The sequence below is a fragment of the Homo sapiens genome, chromosome 2, assembly GCF_000001405.40.
Source record: "Homo sapiens chromosome 2, GRCh38.p14 Primary Assembly".
In the NCBI taxonomy this organism is placed as follows: domain Eukaryota; kingdom Metazoa; phylum Chordata; class Mammalia; order Primates; family Hominidae; genus Homo; species Homo sapiens.
This window is the reverse complement of record NC_000002.12, coordinates 145000498-145024912: the sequence shown is the minus strand read 5'-3', so window position 1 is coordinate 145024912 and position 24415 is coordinate 145000498. Positions and strand designations below refer to the sequence as shown.

At 36.8% G+C, this 24415-nt stretch overlaps 2 long non-coding RNA genes across 2 annotated transcripts in view, besides 1 other annotated feature; both read right to left on the bottom strand.

Moving 5' to 3' along the window:
- LOC100505498 (uncharacterized) overlaps positions 1-18512 on the bottom strand; it is a 257710-nt gene extending 239198 nt beyond the window's left edge. Inside the window, exons 1-3 of the long non-coding RNA XR_923410.3 lie at positions 17429-18512; positions 7302-7381; positions 1640-6260 (exon numbers count right to left, since the gene is read on the bottom strand). This is a non-coding gene — a long non-coding RNA (uncharacterized LOC100505498). The remainder of the gene's footprint in view (positions 1-1639; positions 6261-7301; positions 7382-17428) is intronic.
- Positions 1-24415, bottom strand: part of TEX41 (testis expressed 41) — a 408763-nt gene that overhangs the window by 51817 nt on the left and 332531 nt on the right. The window lies entirely within an intron of this gene.
- Positions 16878-18077: an enhancer, noted in NCBI's record as "CDK7 strongly-dependent group 2 enhancer chr2:145764403-145765602 (GRCh37/hg19 assembly coordinates)". NCBI's record gives its function as "activates an origin of replication core promoter dependent on BRD2, BRD4, P300/CBP, MED14 and CDK7 cofactors, with strong dependence on CDK7, by STARR-seq in HCT116 cells {active_cell/tissue: HCT116}" and the evidence as "EXISTENCE:reporter gene assay evidence [ECO:0000049][PMID:35650434]".

Genomic DNA, 24415 nt, shown 5'->3' with positions numbered 1-24415 from the left:
TGATAGATTGAATGAAGAAAATGTGGTACATATACTCCATGGAATACCATGCAGCGATAAAAATGAATGAGATCATGTCCTTTGCAGGGACATGGATGAAGCTGGAAGCCATTATCCTCAGTAATCTAACACAGAAATAGAAAATCAAAAACTGCATATTCTCACTCATAAGTGGGAGTTGAACATTGAGAACACATGGACACAGGGAAGGGAACATCACACACCAGGGGGATGGGGGATGAGGGGAGGGAACTTAGAGGACGGGTCAATAGGTGCAGCAAACCACCATGGCACACGTATACCTACGTAACAAACCTGCATGTTCTGCACATGTATCCCATTTTTTACAAGAAATAAAGAAAAATAGTAATAAAGATATTCACTGGGAAAAAAAAATTATTCCCATATAAAGAATAGTACATGTAGAAAAAAATAGGGCACAGTAGTAACCTGTTAATGTATATCCATTACAGATATTCAGCATCATATTTGCCATCATGATATTTGCCATCATGTGGAGACAGCTTGTTTAAAATGAATCCATCATACAGGAAAGTAAGTCCTGGAAAAGGGAGGGAGAGAGATTAAAAATATGTGTGTGTGTGTGTGTGTGTGTGTGTGTGTGTGTGTGTGTGTGTCTGTGTGAGAGAGAGAGAGAGAGGAAAACGAGCAAGGGGAGGAGAGATGTGGCAAGGGAAGAAAAGAGTCCACAGGACAGAATTCCTGGAAACATAAGAAAATATAAAAGAGAGATTGAGTTGACTTTTTATCTCCGTCAATTGAAAGAGACCTCATTAATACAGGATTAATTGGCTTTTAATTCAAATTTTTCAATAGCTTTGCAAAGGTAGGGTTGAATAAGAAAGCTGTCGTTGATTTACTGTCATTAACTCAGTGAGAGTAGAAAGAGAAAGCTGATTTCATATTTCACCTCCACAGAGAATATGAATCTAAATTTACCAGAACAGATAGCCAGGAAACATGCTGCTGATGAGGTCAATAACAAACAGCAATAATAGCTAATAATTATTGAATCTGTACTATGTGCCAACAGTTAATAATATATTTACATTCCCTCAACAACTAAATGAAGTACTTACTCCATCTTGCAGAAGACTTACTCCATCTTACAGATGAGAAAACTGAGGCTTAGGGAAGATCAATCATTTGCCCAAGGTTTCACCACCAGCTGGGACTGGAACCTAGCCTCTTTGCCATCAATCATCCATGCCTGACCACCATGCTCAAATCAGGACAAGTATAGCACTTCCGAAGTACCAATAAAACTTTTGAATTTATCTTTATCTCCTGCTCAAGTCCAGAATGAGAGTAAAAAGCATTTTTCCTCTGCCAGCAATACCACTAACATTGCTATATTGACATTATTCAGCAAACTGCTTTCACTTAGGAAGCGTGGTGAAAACTCACTGCCCAAATACTCGAGACAGTTTTCCAACAAGCCCAAATTCAACTAGAAATAGACCCAAAAAATTCAAAAGTAGTAGAAAAGGTGGAATTTATTATTTTTAAGTCTACCTTAAGATTTATTTCAAGACCTGACTGACCATACTTCCATGTTAGACATTAGGACAGAACCTAATTTGCCTGGCTGTTACTCCAGCGTTGAGCTCAAACTCACCCTTCTCCAGTCCTTGCGGTGGGACACCATTTCAGAAAGCTGAGTGTTCAAAGGAATGTTACTTCTGCAAACAGCATTCTTAATGTCAAAGGATAAAGCATCACAGTTGTGGGGAAAGTTATGCATTTACCAGGAAAATATTCATCAGCCTACCCAGTTGGTCATTCACTTCCCCTCTGGCTGTTTGGACATATTTGAGTACGTATTAAAATACCCACGAGATCTCCAATCTTAATTATAAAGCTTGAGAAAAAACATCCAGTGAAAGCTATTTTCAGGTATAAAATTAGAAACTCCTTTTAACTCCTTTGCCTCAAGATTTACATAACTGTGAGGGCAAAGGAATCACATGATAAAAATACCAGATACTGCAGATTAGAAACAAAAAGCAAACCAGCCACATGCCAGTTTCTTGCAATGAGTTCCAGAAGAGACCAAAATCATCGTGAATGAGAAAAGATGTAGTGTGGAGAGAAAATCACCCAGGATAATCAAGGGATATAATTCCAACTCTATTTCCCCCCACAGAACTGTTTTGTAAACATCAATGAGCTAGAATCAAATGTGGATCCCATGATCAAGCTGGCAGAAGTCAAACTCCCTACCTGGATGCTTGCAAATTGTAAATCACAACTTTACAAGGATTTAACTTTTCCCTTTCCAAAATAATCAAATGTTGTGGTGAGGGGGCCACTAATCATGACAAAAAATATACTTCAAATTCTTTCTTTTGGTGCCAAGTCCAATAAGTTCTCTGAGTGAAATTAAATGCACCATCTTATTCCAAACCACAGCTTCCCTTGGGGATGTGCAAATCTCAAGTGGGGGCCGAAAGGCCAGTTGTATCAAAGCCCAGGGTTACACCCATTTTTTTCAAGGTTTTTTTTTTTCCCTCTTTTTAACTACTGCCTGTAGTATAAATGGCTCAGGTCCCTTTGCTTTCCAGCCTTTGCAGTCAAATTAGCATCTTCATACTTTCCACATTCTGCCTCTAAAAAGCAGGCCAGTCTCTGACTTCTCTTAGTTTCTCACAGTTTTTGTTTGTTTAAAGAGACTCTCAGCTGAACTCCAGGGAAGGTGGGGGGAAGGAGAGGAAGAGGAAAAAATATATGTACATATCTCTACATATCTGTTATGTTGTAAGCAATTACCAGCTCCATCTCTTAGATCTGCAGTATCACAGGAATTAGAGATGGAAAAGGCCCATTAGGTCACTGTGCACACCCTGTGCCCACACAGAGCTTTTCCCTACAGCACATTATCTCTTCTGAGAGTTTTTCGTATGTTTAAAGGAGAGCCAATGATAACATAGTTTCATCTTATTTCTTTTTGCTGCTTTGTTCTGTCCAGACTACAACATGCCATTTCTAAGGATGCTCTAGGGTGACTTCTCAAAGGACATTTTTGAGTGCCCATGAAAAGTTAGAACATTTGTGCTATACAACAACTATATTCTGTAAGTTCGGCATGGAAGCATACATAAAAACAAATTTTAAAGAGCCAACATTTAGTCCCAGGATGGAAATGTTACAAATAAAACAATTTTACATAGACATATTCTGTATATCTGGTGCATTATGCCATAAATATAACCGTGTTAGTGTGCATACATGTTCACATAAAGTGTGTGCAAATACTCATCATTACCCCAGAGTGTTTCTGTTTCCTAAAACTTGTGCCAAATGCTGCATAATTCACAAAAATGTGATCCAAAATATTTAAGGTTATGTTTCACACAATTTCTTCTTATCTCTCTTAAGTCATACAACTTAAATGTCAACTTGCATAGGGAAATATTTAATTTCAAGGCTAGTCCTCCATCAGAAAACTCTTTATCTCTTCCTTAAGTAGTTTTGTTTGCTATTTTTTGTTCTTGTTATAAGATAATGGAGTATTTTGGCTTACTTTTTATGTGCCAAACCTAGGTATGTCTACCTGATGGACCACCAGTTTCATCCCTTAGGAAAAGAAATACAATGTTAGGGGAACCTAGCATGTAGAATGGACACATTGTTTTGTTTTTAAATGGCAACCATCTTTAATCACTGTCCTTGAAGACTAACAATAGGTCAAATCAATATTACTATTTGAAAGCATATTATCTTATTCTGAGACCATAATCAACTGTGATAAAATTTGTATTTTTATTATGCCATATTCTAAGTTATATAGTATTTGTCTAGGTGTAATGCATGATAAATATTTTTATTTTTGATAATTTTAATAAGTTGGTCCATCTGTGATATGTGTGACAGAAAAAAAATTCTCACTGCTCTACTAAAAGTCAGGATAGTTCAGTAATCAAGAGCCTGAGACATGAATCACCAAGGTTTAAACTCTTAGTGTACCCTTCACAAGTCTTGTGATTGTAGGCATTACCAGTTATCTTCTATGTTTATTTGGTCAAGTTGTTCATCATATTTCGTCAGATTTAAGATGTCATCGATCCTAACATTGAGGCTTATTTGATGTACTTGTAAGGAAGTAAAAGCAATGCTAATTAAATAATAACATGATGCTTGCTTATCACTTCGCTTTCTTTAACACAATATCATTCTGAGTGCCAACAAGAACACTGATGCCATTTCATTTCTTTGAGTACTATGCCATTGGCTCTAGGTTGGATTTTTTAGCCAAATTATTAGAAATTTATTCTGTAAGTTTTGATTTTACGTTTTTTGATCACAACGAGTCAACAAAATTTTGAAACAACAATTAGAAAAATATTTTAAAAGGTAATTACACTCAACATACATAGTTCTAACAACGCATGTATAACACAATTGAAGTAAAATGTTGCAATCACCTATGACCAAGTGCATGCATCTATAGGCAATGACAACTAAGCTATGACTGAGATTATAAGATGCCATTAATTGTAGGAAATATCCTGATATCAGAGATGAATGGATGGATAGATAGATAGATAGATAGATAGATAGATAGATAGATAGATAGATAGATAGATAGATAAAGATAGATAGATACAGATACGGGGAGAAAAAGCAGGAACCATAAAATTCAACAAACTCCTATGTGCTTTATTGTTTATTGGTAAATTAAGGAATATAATAACATCTGGTATAGAGTTTCTGGGATAACTGAATAAAACCAACACACCAGACACACAGGAGGTCCTCAATAAATATTAGCAGCTATATAATTTTTGCTGTTACTGTTATAAATGCTTAAACACTGAGTATCATAAGGAAATGTGGTAGCGTTCAGTGATTCGCAACTGGAAAAAGAGAGACAGGGATTGTGAAAAGTGGGGTACCTTTTCAAACTTCTATTCTCTGTTTTTTCGTACGGATTGTCCTTGAGGAAGAAGTGTGCCTCTTCCTCAGGCCCTCAACTCCACTGAGGATCCTGCCCTGTCTTAGGAAACCACTGCCATAGGTAAGATCACACATCGTCTCAAGTGAGTTATAGATAGAAAAGAATTGAGCAATTTTTGCAATCAAGCAAACAATTTTTTTTTTTCTTTTTTAAAGATGGAGTCTCACTCCGTAGCCAGACTGGAGTGCAATGGTGCAATCTCGGCTCACTGCAACCTCCACCTCTCGGTTTCAAGCAATTCTCCTGCCTCAGTGTCTTGAGTAGCTAGGACTACAGGCACACGCCACCACACCCAGCTAAGTTTTGTATTTTTAGTAGATACGGGGTTTCACCATGTTGTCCAGAATGGTCTCGATCTCTTAACCTGGTGATCCGCCTGCCTCGGCCTCCCAAAGTGCTGGGATTACAGTTGTGAGCCACTGGACCTGACCCCTATTTTTCAAATCTTGGGTTAGCTACTAACCAGCTGGGTGGCCTCAGGCAAATTTAAGTTCCCTAGGCCTCAGGGCCTCCATGTGTAAAATGATTTAGTGATACAACTTACTTAAGTGTGAGAATTAAATGAGATAAAGTATTAGAATGTTCTCCATGATGCTTGACACATAGTAGACACTAAATATATTTTCATTCTCTCCTTTAATTTGCCAAGAATCAGTGGTGATAATTTTTAGCAAACATGATTATTTGAAAGAGGAAGGCATCAGTTGAGGTGACAGAAAATAAAATAAAAGAAGCAGAGATGAAGGACGAAACTCATAGTCTTTACAAAAGGCTTTATTAAAAGGCAAAGGTTTGCTTATGAAATTAGTGATCAATGGTTTAAATAATACTCTTAAAAAGAAAAAGACTAACTTATCCACAAAACAAATGTTAATAGCAGGGGAACTCAATTTACTCTATGTAGGGAAAGATTAAATTGGTGAACGTTAGAGGAAGAAACTTTGAGTTCCAAAACCCATCAGGTTCTTCCCCACCCTCACTTGGGAAGCTTTGCCACTTGTTATTCCCTCTGTAAAGGGTTCTTCTCATGGCTGGTTCGTTGGGATCTTCCCTTCCTTCAAAGCATCCTTTTAGAGCACTGTGTAAGCCTCTTTATTTACCTCATCCTGTTTATTTACCTCATCACTGTCGTTTATTTACTTGGTTAGCTGGTGAGTCAGAGAGCAGCATGATGTTGGGGCTAAGTGCATGGGCTGCAGCACCTTCATGCCTGCTTTAAACCCTCGCTCTGCCACTTATTAGCCACTTATCTTTGGCAAGTTACTTGTGCTGTCTTCCTCACCTGTAATGGGAAAAACAATAGTTTCCACTTCATAGACTTCTTGTAGGAGTAAATGAATTAATATATGTAAAGCACCTACTAACTGACGTGTATGTGATGTCAATAACTGCGAGGTGCTATTGTTTTATTTTTATCCTCCTTTGTGTTTCAACACCTTGCTTAATTCCTGGCAAATAATTGACACTCAATAAATGTATATTAAAGCAATGAAAGAATAAATAGTCTGAAGAATGTTCCTAAGGGGAGACCTCCAACAATAAGACAAGTTGCTTTTTGAGGGCATAAATCTCTCATAGTCAACAGAATTGCTGAAAGAACTCTTAGAAAGATTTTAGAATTCATTCTCCAATTGCACAGGAGATGTAACTAGTGACTCACTAAGTTCTTTTTTTTTTTTTTTTTTTTTTGAGACAGAGTCTCGCTCTGTCGCCCAGCCTGGAGTACAGTGGCATGATCTCGGCTCACTGCAACCTCCGCCTCCCAGGTTCAAGCGATTCTCCTGCCTCTGCTTCCCAAGTAGCTAGGACTACAGGTGCGTGCCACCGTGCCCAGCTAATTTTTTGTAGAAGATTCTGATACTGATCTAAGGTAGCTCTCACTTTCCCTCAGAGCATTCTAATTTACTCAAAGACAAAATGAAGGTTTTTGACTGAATAATCTCTAAGCTCCATCCTCTGTAACATTCTAGGGTCCTATGCGTGAACTAGTCTAATCTGTTATTACAGGCATTACATTTTTTCCTGCAAAAATTTCCGTAAGAGAAATTGGCTCAAATAGCACCTGGTCCAGAGTTGTTCTACCTCAGGGGCAAGGAGCCCAAACCACTGTTGACTATGGTGTAGTCACTGCCATTTGGTGACTGGAACATCAACAGTCCTTATTCCATGCCTCCTCTTTCCACTATTATATTCTGCTTCACTTTTCATCTTCCACAGGAATACAGCCTAGCCCTGTGCAGCTCCAAAGCAGAGGCATTCTACCCACAGATCCGTGCAGAAATCAGAGCCAGGAAAGCCCTACTAGGTCATGCAGACCACACACCTTTTAGAGCAGGAAAGTCCTCTCCAATTGACATTTCAGCTCCTCTTCTGGCTCCAAAGTGTGGTTGTGCTTCAGTGGTCCTGTGCATGGTTTGAATAACAGTTTATGAGCATTCTGGGATCCCTTGAAAATAAAGGTTCCATATAAAGTTATATTGCTATTTTGTTTATTATAAAAGTTTTTTTTTTCCTTTTTAATCTTCCTGGGATTAGTCACAAGGAAATTTCTCAAAGAGGAAATTGTATGAGCAAGCCTTTTGACCTGATTTTTATCAAAACTGATAGCCATCCAGAACCTGGTTCATTAATGCCCTGGTTGCCCCACTGTAAATGTCCAATAGAAAAATTAGCTTTTTAAACAATCAAAATATTATTTAAAGTACTATGTGTTAATTACTGCTAATCGATTTACTCACATTTCCCATGAGTTAAAGTATATATTTATTTATTGTCAATGCAAATTATGTTTATTTTTAATCATATAACAATGCTTCATTGCCTTTGGATATGAAGACCTATAACTGTCAGTTTGCTAAATGTTCAACATTTTAAAAATGTTTACTTGTTTCATTGTGCTGAACAATACATATCCAAGTCAACATTACTCTAGGTGACAAGAAACCCAACTGATTAACACAAATGTCAAACATGACTGGGGATTCAACCCAAATCCTTGGCCACCATCCAGCCATTCCTCTGGCTCAAGGACAATTTCATTATTTCTTTGTTAGTCAGGGAACATGAGAGTGAGAAACAAACATCCTAGATGATCATCACCAGTAGCTTCTTGCATGCTACTTATGGCTTTCTTCTTATAAAAAGCTTAAGGCAAATAGCCTGAGATAATACTGATTTTTACCACACACACAAACAAAATTAGCAACATCACACCTGTTTTACAGAGTTGAAACCTTGATTGTGGCCACTGGTCATTGTTACTCAAGTCATAGAGATAGAATCAGGGAAGAGCCAAAATCTGTCTACTAAGTTCCAACTCACAATCATATTCACAAGACCACATTTTCTTAATGCTGGCAACTGGAACAGAAAAGCACCCCACAAAATGTAAAGTGTTATTCAAAGGTATACCAGAAGTGGGGGGGGCGGGCACAGGGGCTCACGCCTGTAATCCCAGCTACTTGGGAGGCTGACGCACGAGAATCGCTTGAATCCGGGAGGCAGAGGTTGCAATGAGACAGGATCATGCCACTGCACTCCAGCCTGGGTGACAGAGCAGGACTCTGTCTGAAAAAAAAAAAAAAAAAAAAGAAGAAGAAGTGGATTTGTTGGTTTTCTCCATCTGCTCCTCTATTTAAAAGGGATGATTGCAAGGAGTGGTGGTAAACTCAATATGTGTTTAAGAAATTGCTATCATTTTAGATAATTCAATAGGTTAAACATTTATCAGTGACATTTCATAAGCTAAATATAATTTTATGATTTTAAAAAGGCTGCTGTTCACATTAGAAAGCTCTGGGTAACTCTTGCCTATACTGACATAGGACTAACAATGCACAGGAACCCAACTGTGGCCCATAGTCGGGAATACACTGCAACTTCTAAAACTTTCCAATGAAACAGGGCCTGGAAAGGAATAGAGACAGATATGCACTACTCAGAAATGTGTAATTTCAAGTTTTTAACAAAACTAGAACAAATGGTTTCTAGAAAGGGGCTCAAGGGATAAATAGCTATTGAAGAGAACATTGACAACACAATTTTTTGATCAAACTTGAAGAACACAGACTGGGTACAAACCAGCAGAAAGTATTTTAAGGTTATTTTGGATAAGAGGCCAAGTGACTAACACAAAGAAAACAATAGGCTCAGCATTTCTAAAGATGTAATAGTAAATACGTCAACTCATGCGGAAAAATGTCAAAATTTTCCTACTAGGAAGCATTCCTCCTAGGAATGCAGTCACTGAAGGCAATATAAAGACACCAACATTTATGCCATATTTACCAGAATATGAATTATCTATTTATCTATTTATCCATTTAACACATCTGCCCAATTAAACCTAGCTATCACCTCAAAGTGGGACTATTTAGAACATTTGAATTTTAGAGACTAGGGGCTAGCCAACATGTCTCGTTTCAAGTTCAGTTTGAGTGATGAGGACCATAGGAAGGCTGCTTGGGTCACTGCAGTGGGAATTCGGAGGCCTCACACTGGCTCAGCAGGGAGAGTCTGTGGTCTGTGATTGCTGCCTGTCATGACCAGGGTAGAGGGAGGGAGAGGGGTATAAGCCCAACTGCCAGTCATTTGATTTTCTGATTCAGTCCATCTTTCTCAGTCTACAGTTGAGGAATTGAGACATAGGGAGCTTACTCTTAGAAATAAAGAGAGAGAGGACTTGGCTGAAGAGTAGACAGATGCAAAGTTGCTTTTTTTGTAGAATGCGGGTATCTTGATACTCAGTTCCCTGCATTTTCTTTCCCCCATTGCTCTCCAAATACTAATTATTTTAAATTTTACAAAATAAAACTAACTGTGTAACTAATGAATGTACTGAAAACACAGTTCACTTCGACAATAATATGGTCCTAGATGGAATGAATCAATTCGTTCTACCAAAAACCTCTTAGTGTTTAAACATATTCATAAATCGATGCAAGCTTCTAATATCTACCTTTCTGAAAAAAAATAAAAAAAACATTTCTTAAAACTTAATTTCTCTCTGTAGGACATTTACTTCTGCAAGTATACTCTTTTTCGTAGGCCCCCTTCCTTAGGCTTCTCTCTTTCTGTTTAGAGAGTTTAGAAATCTAACTGACTTAATCCCATTCAGTGTAATACTAAAACTAGTAATGAAGTGTAGAGGAACCATTAATGTACCGACTTCCCCTAAAACTGCACACCAAAATGCCCTTGAGTAATCTCAAATCACTAGCCACATTCCCTTGAAGCTTACAAGAAGTATGGAATACCCATTGGCCCAGCATTTACCTTCTATAACCACAACCAATACAGAATTACTTTTTAGAAATCCAAATGAAATATTTCGGGTAACCAAGTAGTTGTTGCAATTGTAATCACTGGATATCTAGTATCTATACTAGATATCCAATATAAAATATCCCAGTCCTAATAGATGTTATTCTTTACCTATTATTTCCCCTTGTCACTTAACCCTTTTTCACCTTTTATTCAGATATATTTATTCTGAAACTTATTTGCAAGATAAGAAAGCAACTGTCTCTACAAAAAGGTTTCTGATGAGGAAACACATGAGAACCATGACAATCATTACAATGGAAGTACCTCATGCGTACTTGGATTCTTCCATCATATTTCCCAGAACTATTTATACTCTTCATTGGGAAATCAATGGCATGCCTCTATTATGTGAGTCTTTGTTGAAAATGTTTTAACACAGACTACCTTTTTAAAAATAGCATGGGGAAGGGCAGTCATGAGACATATTTTATGACTTTTATGGCTTTGCCTCTCCAGCTGCCCATTGAAGAGATATTTTGGCTCAGGTTTACCTATCATGGCAGCATGGGCCCATGGGGACCCATGGAAGGCTGTAATGAGGGGTTCCATTAACCAGTTTCATTATTTCAGAAGGCCTAAGGGAATAGCACATTCACCAATAATAAGGCTACTAAAGCTAGAATGTCAAATTACTTTGCTTTGGGGCAAAATCTTATCAATTTCCTATGAAGACTCTTATTACCTCATGCTGATCAGAGTCTCTGATTGGCAACTATGTATGTGTCTGATTAATAAAGTGTGAAATAAAAACAAATGAATTGTTTTGTTTGGACATTAATTTTTTTCAAAACATACAGTCCCAGACATAGAAGATAATTTCAGACAAGACTAATTTACACCAAGTGTTTAATGTCAATCTAATATCTTGAATAATAATGGTGATGATGACACAAAAGCTAAAACTTACATAGCACATTCTGAGTACCAGGTACTGTTCTAAGCATTATACAAACACTAATTTATCCAATCATCACAACAGCCATATTAGGGCCAATTCTAGGCCAAAGTAAGGTTATAAAATAATAACTGAGGACCCTGAGAGAGAGGGCAGTCCAATATTATGCTATTATGTCACAGTCATACGGAGTAACTGCTGAAGCAAGAATTTGAAAACCAGCACTAAAGCCTCTGAATCCAGTCTCTTAAGTCCCCCTTTCAGGAAATACTCTGATTAGGGTCTCACTTTTTATTATAACAAAGATAACAGCACACAGTGGCTTACTCAACTGTAAAACTAGGATTATCACTAGTTTCTTCAAGAGTTATTGATAAAATTAAATAAGTTAACTTTTGTAAGCCTGTAGAACAACACCTGGCACAAGGTAAGTTCTGTTTGAACAATTATACTCTTCAAATGACAAAGCTTTTTTTCCTCCCCTTGAGTGCAAATCAAAGTCCTGAGGCCAACCCTCTCACCTGTGTTCAGTATCGGTAAAAAATTAATTTTGAAAATGACTTTGCTTTTGTCTAATTACCAATATGCAAGGAAATCCACTGGCTGCCTAAAAATAAACCATTAACTCATCATACTGGTAAAAGCTCAGCATGAACACTCTCTTTGCGAGCAGGAAGAGGGAGGTGAGGAGGATGACACCATGACATGTTGAGTTCAGAGGCATGAAACCAGGCACCTGAGCCCTGCTGGGGACACTTGCTGAGTTTTCCTTTCTTTTCTGCCTCTTCAGAAACACCCCTGTGAGAATGGTAATTTACCACTAAATCTGTGAGCATAGAAAGAAACTTTTAAACTGTAACACGCACATAAGATATGAATTCCTGGGACAAGCATATCATTGCATAATATAGCTCAGTTTTAATAAACCTCCATCCATTGAAGCTCCATTGTGGAGGAGAGTAATTCCACGGCAGCTTTGAAGTATACTCCCTTAAAGAAAGTAAGAGAAAAGCCATTGTTTATTTTACTACTATTTAAGAGTTAATGAGAGATTTGCACCTGTACAGCTGTTGTGGACTGAAACTAGCTCATGGAGTGAATGTGTTTTCTGCTTGAGACAGTTGTAAATGCCTTGAGTAAAAACACTGAGGACTGCTAATGGATAGGTTTATTTTAAAGCATGCCATCTGCTATCAATCATAGAGAAGTATAGGAAGCAAGTTTGGCTGGGCTCCCTCCTTGCGAGCCTGATAAAGACAGGGCTCCAGGACTCGGGAACATTGAGTCCTCAAGAGAATAAAACATCAAACCTACTCAGCAGCTCCACTAACAATAATAAAAATGCCTCTGCCTAAAGGTGACATTCTGAATTTACGATTATTTGTGTCTATAAAGTGTATTCTTTGGCTCCTGACTCATTCTGACTGTCTCACTCCGAGAACAATACATTAAGCCTGCCTGGAGTAAATGGAAATCCTATCCTTTTATTAAACCAGCAGCCAGTACCTGAGACGATCTAATGCCCTGTAGAATCACAGGAAGCTTTTCAGTTCTGTTTTGTTTCTTTGTAACTATTTTTCATAAGAAACTTACAAACAACATCTATGTTAATGCACTAAAATATATAAGTGACGTAGGCAAGTATATGTTTCTTAAAAGACAAAATAAAATAAAATAAAAGATTAAAATGGAACTAATTCTTACTACTCTATCATGCTCCCATTACAATGCGGTTGGAAAATTACCTGTGAGAGATATGTTATGGTAAAATTTAGAACCCGTTGCTCAGAACTGTTTGTATTCTTCATGCTGTATGAACCAAGCATACTTTCAAGAGGACAAACGTTATTTTCTCGGAAATCTTCCAGCAATGGAATCATAACCAATATTGCTTTCAAAAATGGATCCCAAAGTATTCCTTGAAAAATGCCGAGCCTGGCTTATTAAAAGTGCTGCCTGCTGAAATCCTCAGTGGACAAAATGAGCTGTGGTGGCACTGGCACCTTCTACAGCTTATAATGTTAGATTCTGCTTCAAATCTGCAGCTTAATGTAAGTCTATTGCTAGCCTGGAATATGGAGTTGTGACTGTTTGGGGAAAACCCACCTGGCCAGCAAACTCATGAGCCTAATTAAAGTTAATAGAGAAATTAAAAGAGGACAACACTGCCTCAGTAGTGATAAGAAGAAATGTATAAGGCAATAGAAATTCAGGGCAAGAACTTAGATTTTTACATTATGCATTTGTTAGAAATACTTCTTTTTTAAAGACATGAAAAAGAAATTGGTATTATTTGACTTGCCATATACATGATTTTTGTGCTAAAGAAAATTAATGTTTTAGGTTAAATCGTATGAAATTGGAAAATACTTAACCAATAAGCATACTTCAGATCTGCTGTGTATCAGAACTTTGCTAGGCTCTACGACAGCAGGAAAGTAAAAGGCATTATCTCTGCCCGTCATGGAGAAAAAGGTTTAACACATTCAATAGAATTTTAGAACATCATAGAGCCAATCTTAAGAGCTAAATTATTAGGTAGAGAGAATAAATGCTATAAGAGTTCAGAAAACAGGGAGAGCAACGAAGACTGCAATAGCGAGAAAGACTGGTTAGGAAGACTTTCATCGTTTCCTTAAAAGCAGAAAAAAATATATAAAATAAATGCAGAACATTTATAATAATTCAGACTTAAAAAGATATAAAAGAAATTTACCTATTGAAATTTCAGTGTACTTTCTAATGCAATATGGAATTAAATGTTGAGTCAAGTTATGAAACACACCTAGAGCAGAAGGAAGCACCAACAATGCTTTCGTTCTTTGACAGAGGTTAAAAAATAATGTCCATACTGACAGAGCAGGAAATGTATTAATAGATGCATGAAGCAGGCAAGGGCAGAGGCAGAGTGTGGCAAATTAAAGGGCACCTGCCTCATCTAGAGGCAGCCTCTACCCAGCACGAGCAGGTTAGTGCCAAGAGAGGAAGAGAACCCAGTTTTGTCAGATCTCCAACTATCAAAGAAAGCTGGAAACCTGGCTTTTAAGTTATACTTACCAATTTTGTAAGAAAAAAAAAATCAGGTCGAGCTAAACACCTTACCACTGTGGGACAGATCCACCCATCCTCCTCCGGGCTTCTCAATAGTTCATGTCATAGGGAAACCTGGCTCTTTATTTCTAGGAACCTTAAAAACAAGTCTATAAATGCCACCATTCGCTCCAGTATTACATTTGGAGTCTTTCTGAATGGTGGCACCACCTAAGTCTGCAGAAGGCCGATTCTGTGGGTTATTTTAGAAGAGCCAGTGGGTTTCTGAAAGCTTTGTATGAATGCTAAAGGTTAGTATGTCTCTTACACCAGATTTGAAATCCTGTACAAATAAGTCAGTGGAGCACTAATGAAAAAACTACTGTGATAGGGCCTGTGCTGCTCCGATTAGACATTAGCGGCTGCATCAAGAAGAGAAATACCTGAAGATTAGCACAGTAATTTGTTTCTCTAAACCTGAATCATTTAATCTCTTTTCTTAAGAAAGCAGTGGTCTATGGATATGGTAAAGAATTAAAATTGCATTTATAAAGTGATTTCCAAAAGACTTAAGTTTTTAATAAACAGATGGATCATTTAAATATAGTTAATAAATATTATTCAGAACTTATTACCTTAAATATTCTCTACTTAGAAATTGTAAATATTCACTGTCTCAATTGTGAGAAGGTTGGAATACCAGGTAATATTATGTAATGTTTTCATAGTTAATATTTGTAACATAAGACCTACATATTGTGAAATAGAAGAGTTTAAACCAAAATAATCTATTCTTGTAATTCAGGACATCTCAATTCCATCAATTTAAAGAATTATTTAAATGTTGCAGCCAATTCTAACTATTATAATTCTATACCACCAGGGAAGTGCTTCCAAACATCATGCATTTATTAATGCAGTCAACAAGTATTTATTGAATTCTTACAAGGTTCTGTACTTCGTGTAGGAAAAAAAAATACCTTACTAAAAGAACTTGTCTTACTGGATCGAAAATCATTTATTTTGGTTTATTTTCCTTGCATTTTTGATTAAGCAGTCTGTAATTCAACATCATCCATGTTAAAACGCAAATGCATAAATAGCTACAGGTTCAAACACAGAAACTCCTGCTACATATCAAGGCTGGTCAGACATTGTCCGCATAAAGTGTAAGGCTACTGTCAATGTTGTGTTAATCTTTTTGAATTCAGAAGATTAAATGAACCACAATACAAGAGACAGTTGAGCATTTGGTGGGTAAATATGCCAACCAAATTATCAAAACTCAAGTCAAAATCAATGACTTAATGTAAACAAAGAACAACATTAAGAATTATATGCATTCAGTTTCTTGGAATGGACTTGTGCTAGGACATGTTCTGACTTTATCATAAACCAGCTACAACTACAATAGACGAAATATCACCTCTCTGTGCTTCTTGTTTCTTTACTGTGAAAGTAGTGAGCGTGACTAGTTGGTCTCTAAACCTCTGCCCTGCCTAGGATTTCTTTTTTTTTTTTTTTTTTTTTTTTTGAGATGGAGTCTCACTCTGTAGCCCAAGCTGGAGTGCAGTGGTGTGATCTCAGCTCACTGCAAGCTCCGCCTCCCGGCTTCACACCACTCTCCTGACTCAGCCTCCCGAGTAGCTGGGACTACAGGCGCCCACCACCACACCAGGCTAATTTTTTGTATTTTTAGTAGAGACGAGGTTTCACCGTGTTAGCCAGGATGGTCTCGATCTCCTGATCTCGTGATCCACCGGCCTCAGCCTCCCAAAGTGCTGGGATTACAGGCGTGAGCCACTGCACCTGGCCTGCCCTATCTAGGATTTCTTATTGGGGTTTAAACAATTTCTCTTCTGTGGTGGTTAGACCTATGAAAGAAAAATGTTTTATTAAATATATTTTAACATTAGATATGTTCATACTTTGAAATATTTATAGATTGGGTAAACATTTTTCTTTTATATGTCTAATAAATTGCATTTTCCTCATTACAAGAAAAAGTTTTCTCTATATAATATCTATCTATCTAGCCTATCTGTCATCTATCTATCTATCCGTCCATCCTACATGGAATGCCAATCTATAGAGAAAATCACTGCTACAACTTTAGTATATTTGCTGTTAGTGATTTACTCTATAGAAGAATACATATATATTTAAAGGAAGTTGCCACAAAACTGTGTTAGTTTCTTATTCTTTTTTCCCTTCACTCTACATTAGTTAAAACCTTATCCCCATATCATTGGATATTCTTTAAAAACACAACTGCAAAATCTTTAATTAGATGAACATGCTGTAGCTGATTAACTGTTCTCCTGCTGTTGGACATTTAAGTTGTTTTCACTTTTTCTCTGGCAACAAAAATCTTACCTAATGAATCTTAGTGTACACCTACGAACATGACCTTAAAATCAATTCCTAATATGACAATTTTAAAGTTCTTGACTTGTAGTACTACAATGCCATCCAGAAAGATTGTGTAAATTCACTCTGCCACCAGTGTAAAAGACTGCCTATTTCATATTAACACAGTGATGTGTATGACATCAATATAATAGTTGGCCCATCACAAGAGATTACATGTTACTCCCTAGGAAGCAACAGGGGAAGTAGTGTCACTGTAGTGTCTAGTTTTCTCTATTGTATTATTTGAGAATGCTTTAAAGCTTACAACTAGGCACTCTGCACACCCCTTATGCACACACACACACATACACACACATACAGCCCCATAGTCATACACATACAATGAACCTTCTGATGATGGCAAACAGACTCCCATCAACACACACACTCAAGGAAGGGAGGACTTTTCTGAGACCATATGGCTATAAGCCAGCTGTCACGAGGCCATGGACTGCCAGAGTGAGTCTTCAGGGGATGCCTGGTTGAGAAAATAGTTTATAAGATGATAGAAGTGTTAATGTGGTGTAGATAGAAGAGATCTTTCCCTTTATCTCCTAGAGAAAGAAAACTGCTACCAGGAAATGAGGCATTTTCAAAAACCCAGTAACAACAACTAAAAGAAAAATTTGCTAATTTTGCCAGCTAGCACAAGGAACTCGGCCGCCAGTCAAAAAGCTGTGTGTCCAACTCAGAGCTGGATTCACTTTAACAAAAATTTCCCTCTTCAGCCACCTAAGTGTCTGTTGCATTAGGCAAGAAGCCAAGGTGGGGTAGACACAGTCACTCACATGAAATGTCCGTTTCCATTTGGATCCCTGTGGCCCTTTCCCATGTCATGGTGAAAAAATGCTTCCTCTGCTTGGGTGTTTTCAGGATAACTTGGTTTGAGGAGGAAGTCGGATCTGCTGCTCACAAGGCGCCCATAGGAGGCAAAGCCACAGCTTTGCACGGTCAGAACCAGGCTGTCCCTGCCTTAAAAAAAAAAAATTCCTCGCCCACTCGTACCCATGGTTTTGATGTTGAAAGAAACCTGTTGTGGTTTAAATGACTCGGTCAGTTCTTCTGGGATTTTCCGAAGTTTCCTATAAAAAGACATCTGTGGGAAATAAATGATTGCATAATCACTAACATATGCCCGTTTTGCTAAACCTGTTATCTTTTTGGTGCTTTGAATTGCGTTGTCCTATCTAGTGAATTACTATATTTTAATAATTTTACCTTTTAAGTAATGATGCTGATTATAGTCATGTTTTTTTAAACCTTTGATCAGTATGTAGTTAAAGAAAAAAACAATACTACAAAAGGTAAGGCCATGATGTTTATGCAGCAAAATTAAAAGGAAAGTGTGATAAATGGTGGGGAAATAAGGCAATTACCCAGATACATGGCAGATGGAGGAAAAACTTGATTCTTCAATTACTTGTGTACCTTAAACAATATTATTTTTGGCCTGACTTGGCATAAATGCCTCCAATTTTTTCTTTGGTAGCGTGGATCTGGTTAATTAGCAACACTATTCATCCTTTTCTATCTATCATACACACAGAATTTCTTATTTTTTACTCAAAAAAATTAAAAATTATTGCTGGACTCAGAAAACCATCTTTAAAATTAGAGAAAAGCTGGAGACAAAGCTTAACGGCCAACATATCACACTGAAAGGGGCTGGTAAAAGAAATAAAATGGATGTTATTCATTATCTGAGGATGAAGATTACAGATGCCTGATCTTCAATTGATTAGATGACTTATAAATGAAGAATTCCAAAGGCTGCTATTCCTGGCAGCTATGAAGCAGAGCATCCACAGGTTTATTCCTTACTGGTAGTACCAAAGATCCTACCAAAAAAATGAGGATAAAAGCAAGCCATCTTAAAAAAAAAAAAAAAAAAAAAAAAAAAAGGCGTTGACTATTACCATTTTTGCTGAAAGGTGGAAAAGCCCAATAAGCCCAATAAGGTACTGATGGTTGGCCAGAGGGGCACGTGTGAGCATCCAGTAAACTAAGCCTCTGCAGCAGGCTTCAGCAGAAGTGAGGCCCAGTAGCTCTCAACTCTAGCTGTATATTAGAATTACCTAGGGCACCTTCATCATACTCATGTCTCAGGTCTGTTCTACACCAAGTAAATAAGAATACATACATTAGACCAAGGCACTGGTGTGTTTTAAAACGTTTTAGGGTGATTCCAATGTAGAATCAAAGAAAACAATATGCATGCTCTTATGGAATCCAGGCCTTCTCTATATTAAACCACACTTTACTTGACTGTGGATACATTTTAAATGTACTACCATTACAATTAGACTAGACTGTAAGAGACTTTATTTTGCTACTGTTCTATCACAGTACCTAACATGCTTGGATTATAGTAAATGTTCACTGCATATTTACTGAATAAATACAGGAACAATTATAAAACAACATTTGTTTTAATAGTGAATGATTATTTTACACATGATGAGTACATTATGAGAGGAAATTCTTACCATAGGGCATTACTATTCAGAGAAAACGTTATGAAAATGCTGAATCTTTGCCTGGACCTTGAAGGCACTATGAAATTTGGTTTATGAAGAGGAGAAGCTGCAGGAGCAGAAATTGGAAAGACTGGTGCTAAGCACTTTGCAGGATAAGAACTAAAACCACACTTAAGGAGTATCTATTATTGCCCCCTGAATTCAAGCCAGAATATCTGAACATGGGAAAATCTACACAATGTTAAGGGAATTCTAGAATATATTAAAAGATAGATGGGTTACAAAATAAAATTTGTGATCACATAGAAATAGAAAAGGATAGGCTATCTGTTACTACAGATAACAAGTAACATTTCACTAACTTCATTTTAAAGGAATGTTTCTAGTTTGGGAGATTAAGAAAAAGCAAAATAATACTTCTTGATTCCCATCAGAAATTACACATCCTATCTTTATTGATAAGATAGAGATTGTAGGTTAAATTATGGGACAGTTAAGACGAGTCATATCTTAAAGGTTTCATATCTTATTTGTAGCATAGTAGTAATGTGCAGTCAAAATTGCCCTTGAAATTGTTTTTAATGTGTCCCAATAAGAACAATACAGGCAGTTTTTCCTCCAGCTATGAAACTAATCATTTTTTCTATGATTGAGCATTATATGAAGAAGTTTGGCTCATGTTTATGAGCTATATTGCATATCAAAAAAAATTTTAACTAAAATCACACTCAGCTTGACAAAATGATCAAACTAAGAACGATATAAAAATAGTAATTTCATGAGAACCAAATCACAAGGTAAGCATCAATTGAATAGAATGTAGGGAAGAATAGCCTCTATTATTTACAGTGTCCTCTCCTATTCTCTACCTCTCTCAATTCTCCAGCTCCTATTTGCAGAGAATACATGATGTGATTCATGTAAGATAAATGTGTCTCCAATGAAATGCACCTAGAGACATTTGATCAATGTGTACTAGAGAAGAAGCATACTTGATATGGTATGATGTGGGCTTCCGTTCTCTCATTTCTGCACAGAGTTTTTGTAAATGGCTTGGATTAAGAGATGCAGAAGGAAGCATATTTATTTTTCATAACATAAAGCTTAAAAGAGAGCTATTGCTTCAGAATATAGAGTTAATATACAAACATCTCGAGAATCTAGAATTGTGGCTGCAAATGAAGATGACATTTAATAGAGTCAAGTAAAAAGTTGCAGAATTATGTCTGAAATATTAGTTCATTCAGAGGGGCAAATACCTAAATAAGTTTTTTAAAAAAGACTACCTGTTGGATATGAATTAAAAAGCAAGAGCTATAGTGGTGAGAACTCTATGTTAGAATAATAATAATAATCCATATGCTAATCAAAAACAACTTCACAGTAGAAAAATATTTTCGCATTTTACTTTTAATGATACATTTAGAAAGATAGTGATCAGGAAGAAACAAAAGGCAGGGATTAAAAAATTTGAATCCCCTTGTTTATTCACACACAAACACACACTATATATTTATATATAATATATATTTAAAACTCTTAAAATATTTTTAACAAAAGTAAAATCTTAACAAAATAAAATTTATCAGTGACTGTCTCAGTGGCATTTAGTAAAGTAAATGAATGAGTCTGAGGGCAATTTGGAGCCCCTTGAAAGGAGCTGAAGGCTAATAGGCTTTAGAGTTGTTTCATATGATTTAGATGAAACAAAATAAAGAAATTTTTATTCTGAAGAAATGAGATAGTTCACCGGGAAGGATCATGGACTCATCTTATAATGGTAGACTACAAATTTGGCAACAACTGGAGTCACCAACTGGTCTGAATTCTCTCTCAGTGAAATACTTGTTTGATCGTTTATAGAATCTTAAAATGAAAGAAATTGGACAAGTTTGCTAATACGAGTAATAGTAATGTTTTGAAACATGTCTTCCAAATAGTTATTTAACTTGTCACCTAGTCACTGTTTATCTAAACACAAATTCGAGAGGCTGACTCTTAACTGTTCAAAAATTCTGGGGATTCAAATTGACATTTTTAACCTTGACCTCTCTCTTGAACTCCAGAATTCAATATTCCACAGTCAAGGAATCCTCTCCACTTGATACATTCCAAACTGAACACTCGTTTTCATTCATCTATACCTGTTCCTACTCCACAGTTTCCTTCTCAATTTATATTTTGAAGTCATTCTGTCAGCTTAGATTTTTAAAATGGAATATTTTGTCCATTTAAAGGAATTGCATATATTTGGATTTAAGTCTGTACCATATTGTTTTCTATTGTATTTAATCCACCTGTTTTAGACTTTTTCTCATTTTTGCTTTTTCTTTTTGATTAATCAAATATTTTTCATCGTTTGGTATTCTCCTTTATTAACTTCTTAGCTATTCATTCTTTAGCTATCCCTTTAGCAAATATCCTGTGATTTACAATATGCATCTTTGGTTTATTACTATCTATTACATATTTCTCTGTCTTTATAAATGGTGATTCCATTTTTATAGCTATAGAGGCCCAAATTTGGGGTTTATTCTTGATTATTTTCATTCCCTCGTCTATAAATGCAACCCATCAAGAAAAGCCTTTGGCTCAAATTCATGAAATACAGATGCTCCTTGACTTACAGTGGGGTTATGTCTTGATATCCATCTTAAGTTGAAAATATTGTAAGTCAACAATGTACCTAGTATACCTAAACTATCATAGCTTAGCCTAACCTACCTTAAAAGTGCTCAGAACACTTACATTAGCCTATAGTTGGGAAAAATCATCTGGCAGTAGAGATGGTACATGACTTATAATGGTTTTTCAACATTATGGTGGTACAAAAGCAATAGGCATTCAACAGAAACTGAACTTTAAATTTTGAATTTTGACCTTTTTCAAGACTAGCAAAATTCAGTGCAATACTCTGTCATGATGCTGGGCAGCAACAGGGAGCCACAGCTCCTAGCCATGTGGCCACTAGGGTAAATAACAGATACTCTAGAGTGCACTGTGTTGCCTGATGGTTTTGCCCAACTATAGGCTAATATAAGTGTTCTGAGCACATTTAAGGTAGGCTAGGCTAAGCTGTGATGCTCGGTAGGTTAGGTTTATCAAATGCATTTTCAACTTATGATATTTTCAACTTAGGATGGGTTTATTGGGATGTAACCCCATTGTAAGTTGAGGAGCATCTCCACATTATAGAGTATCAGTTGTTTCCCCTGGTGATCACATGGCTTACTGGGAACTGTGGGTTTGCAAGAGAGTGTAGTACTGCATTCTCTAGCCTGGGAGAAGATCAAAATTCAAAAATACTGTTTCTACTGAATGTGTATCACTTTTATACCATCGTAAAGTTTGCAAATTGTAAGTCAAACAATGGTAAGTCGGAAACGCCTTTATTTTAAATTTAACCACTTCTAACCACCTCCACTCCTAGCCCTCTAAACTATGACCAGCTTTCACCGAGCCTATTCAAACAGCTTCCTCACCAGTGCTTCTTCCCCCTTGCTTCCCTAGAATCTGTGTTTCCACTTAAATGTCAGAGGGATCCTTTCAAACATAGCCAGATAATATCAGTACTATGCTCAAAGCCCTACAGAGGCTGGCCATCGCTTATCCTTGGAGACCCGATCTCTCCAAGGATAAGTCAGATTCCCAATTCTCTCTGCAGTCTCACCTCCTGGCACTCTCTCAGTCACTCACTGCTCTATAGCATCACTGGTCCCTTGTTATTCCTCAAACACACTCAGGGCAGTTTCCTGCTTCAGGGGCTTTGAGTGGCTGCTCTCCTGCCAGGAATATCTTCCACAGTTATCTGCTTGATTTGTTCTATCACTTCCATCAGGTCTGTGCTTAACGGTCACTGCCTCAAAAAGGGGTTCCTAACCACCTTTTCCAAATCAACATGCCCTCACTCTTTATCTTTTTGTTCTATTTTCTTTACAAAAACAAAACAAACAAACAAAAAAAAACCTGACATAATTTGTCTGCTTGTTACCATCTTTCTATTTTCTTTAAATGCAAACATCATGGATATAGAGAGAAGTTTTTATTTTCCCTCTTGTTCCCTCCCCAGACTAGAAAAAGGCTTAAATAGACCTCAAAAGAGGTTAAATGGATATTTATGAAATTTAAACATTAATAAATGATTTCTAATTGTTAGAAAGTTTCACCTCTCCCCTGTATTCTTGTTTCTCCCTTTTACAGTTTCTCAAAAGAACTCCATACACTGGATTATCCACATCTAAGTCTTAACTAGAATGCACCTTCCTTGGGGGGTGCAGCTTACTCCATCCATAGGTAACTAGTCCCTACACACAGTGCTGATGCCCGGCAGGGGCTTCCCCTCACAGCATCCCTGCTGAACTGCCATCTCTCCTCTCCATCACGATTAGCCCGATCAACTGAAAGATGCTTGCTCTGGGATCTTGTCCATTATTTCTTCCAAGAATTGCTAACTACCTAACTTGTTTTTAAATGCTTTCCACACATATTAAAAACTGTTGCCACCAATGGTGGAGTGTGGCTCAGAGTAAAGTGATGCATTATATCATTTTCCCCTAGAAGTCACATATTTCTCTCACTATCCTTTTCTTTACCAGATACAGCAGAGGTGTCCAACAGAAATATAATACAAGCCACAAATGTAAGCCAAATAAGTCATTTTAAATTTTCTAGTAGTCACATTTTTAAAATGTAAAAGAAACATGAAATTATGAGAGCACATTTAATTAACAAAATTTTATCTAAAATATTATGAGTTCAACATGTAACCAAAATGATGATACAAAGTCTTGTATAAATTATGGGGGTTGTAGCAGTCTGGCCATATCATTAATAGCTTAGAGTGATCAGCTGAAGAAGTAGTCAGTCCCACCTTGAATGTTAAAAAGCTGGGATTCTCAAGGAGGGGGTGGCAGAATGCGAGAACCAGGGGTGGGAGTCAGGATCATCTCAGAGAACTTTCTAAAAGAGCATGTAGAGATAAAAAGCATGTGTGATTTGAAAAAAAAAAAAATCCAAAACAATTTATAAGTCACCCTCATTTCCTTCCTAATTTGAGATCCAGAGTGGAAAAGAGAATTCTTCCAATGGGAATGGATAATTAATAAAAATTCTTCCACTTCCAATACTCAAAGACTACATAATATAGAAGCTTGGCATCCTCCCAGCTCTTTCATAAATCATCCCACATTATGCAACACTTATTTTTCCAAATAGAGGTAAAAGATTACATCCTTAAGGTCCATTTTATCTAAATGCATCCCTTTTGGCCCAGTGTGTAGAACATATCTAGATTAATGA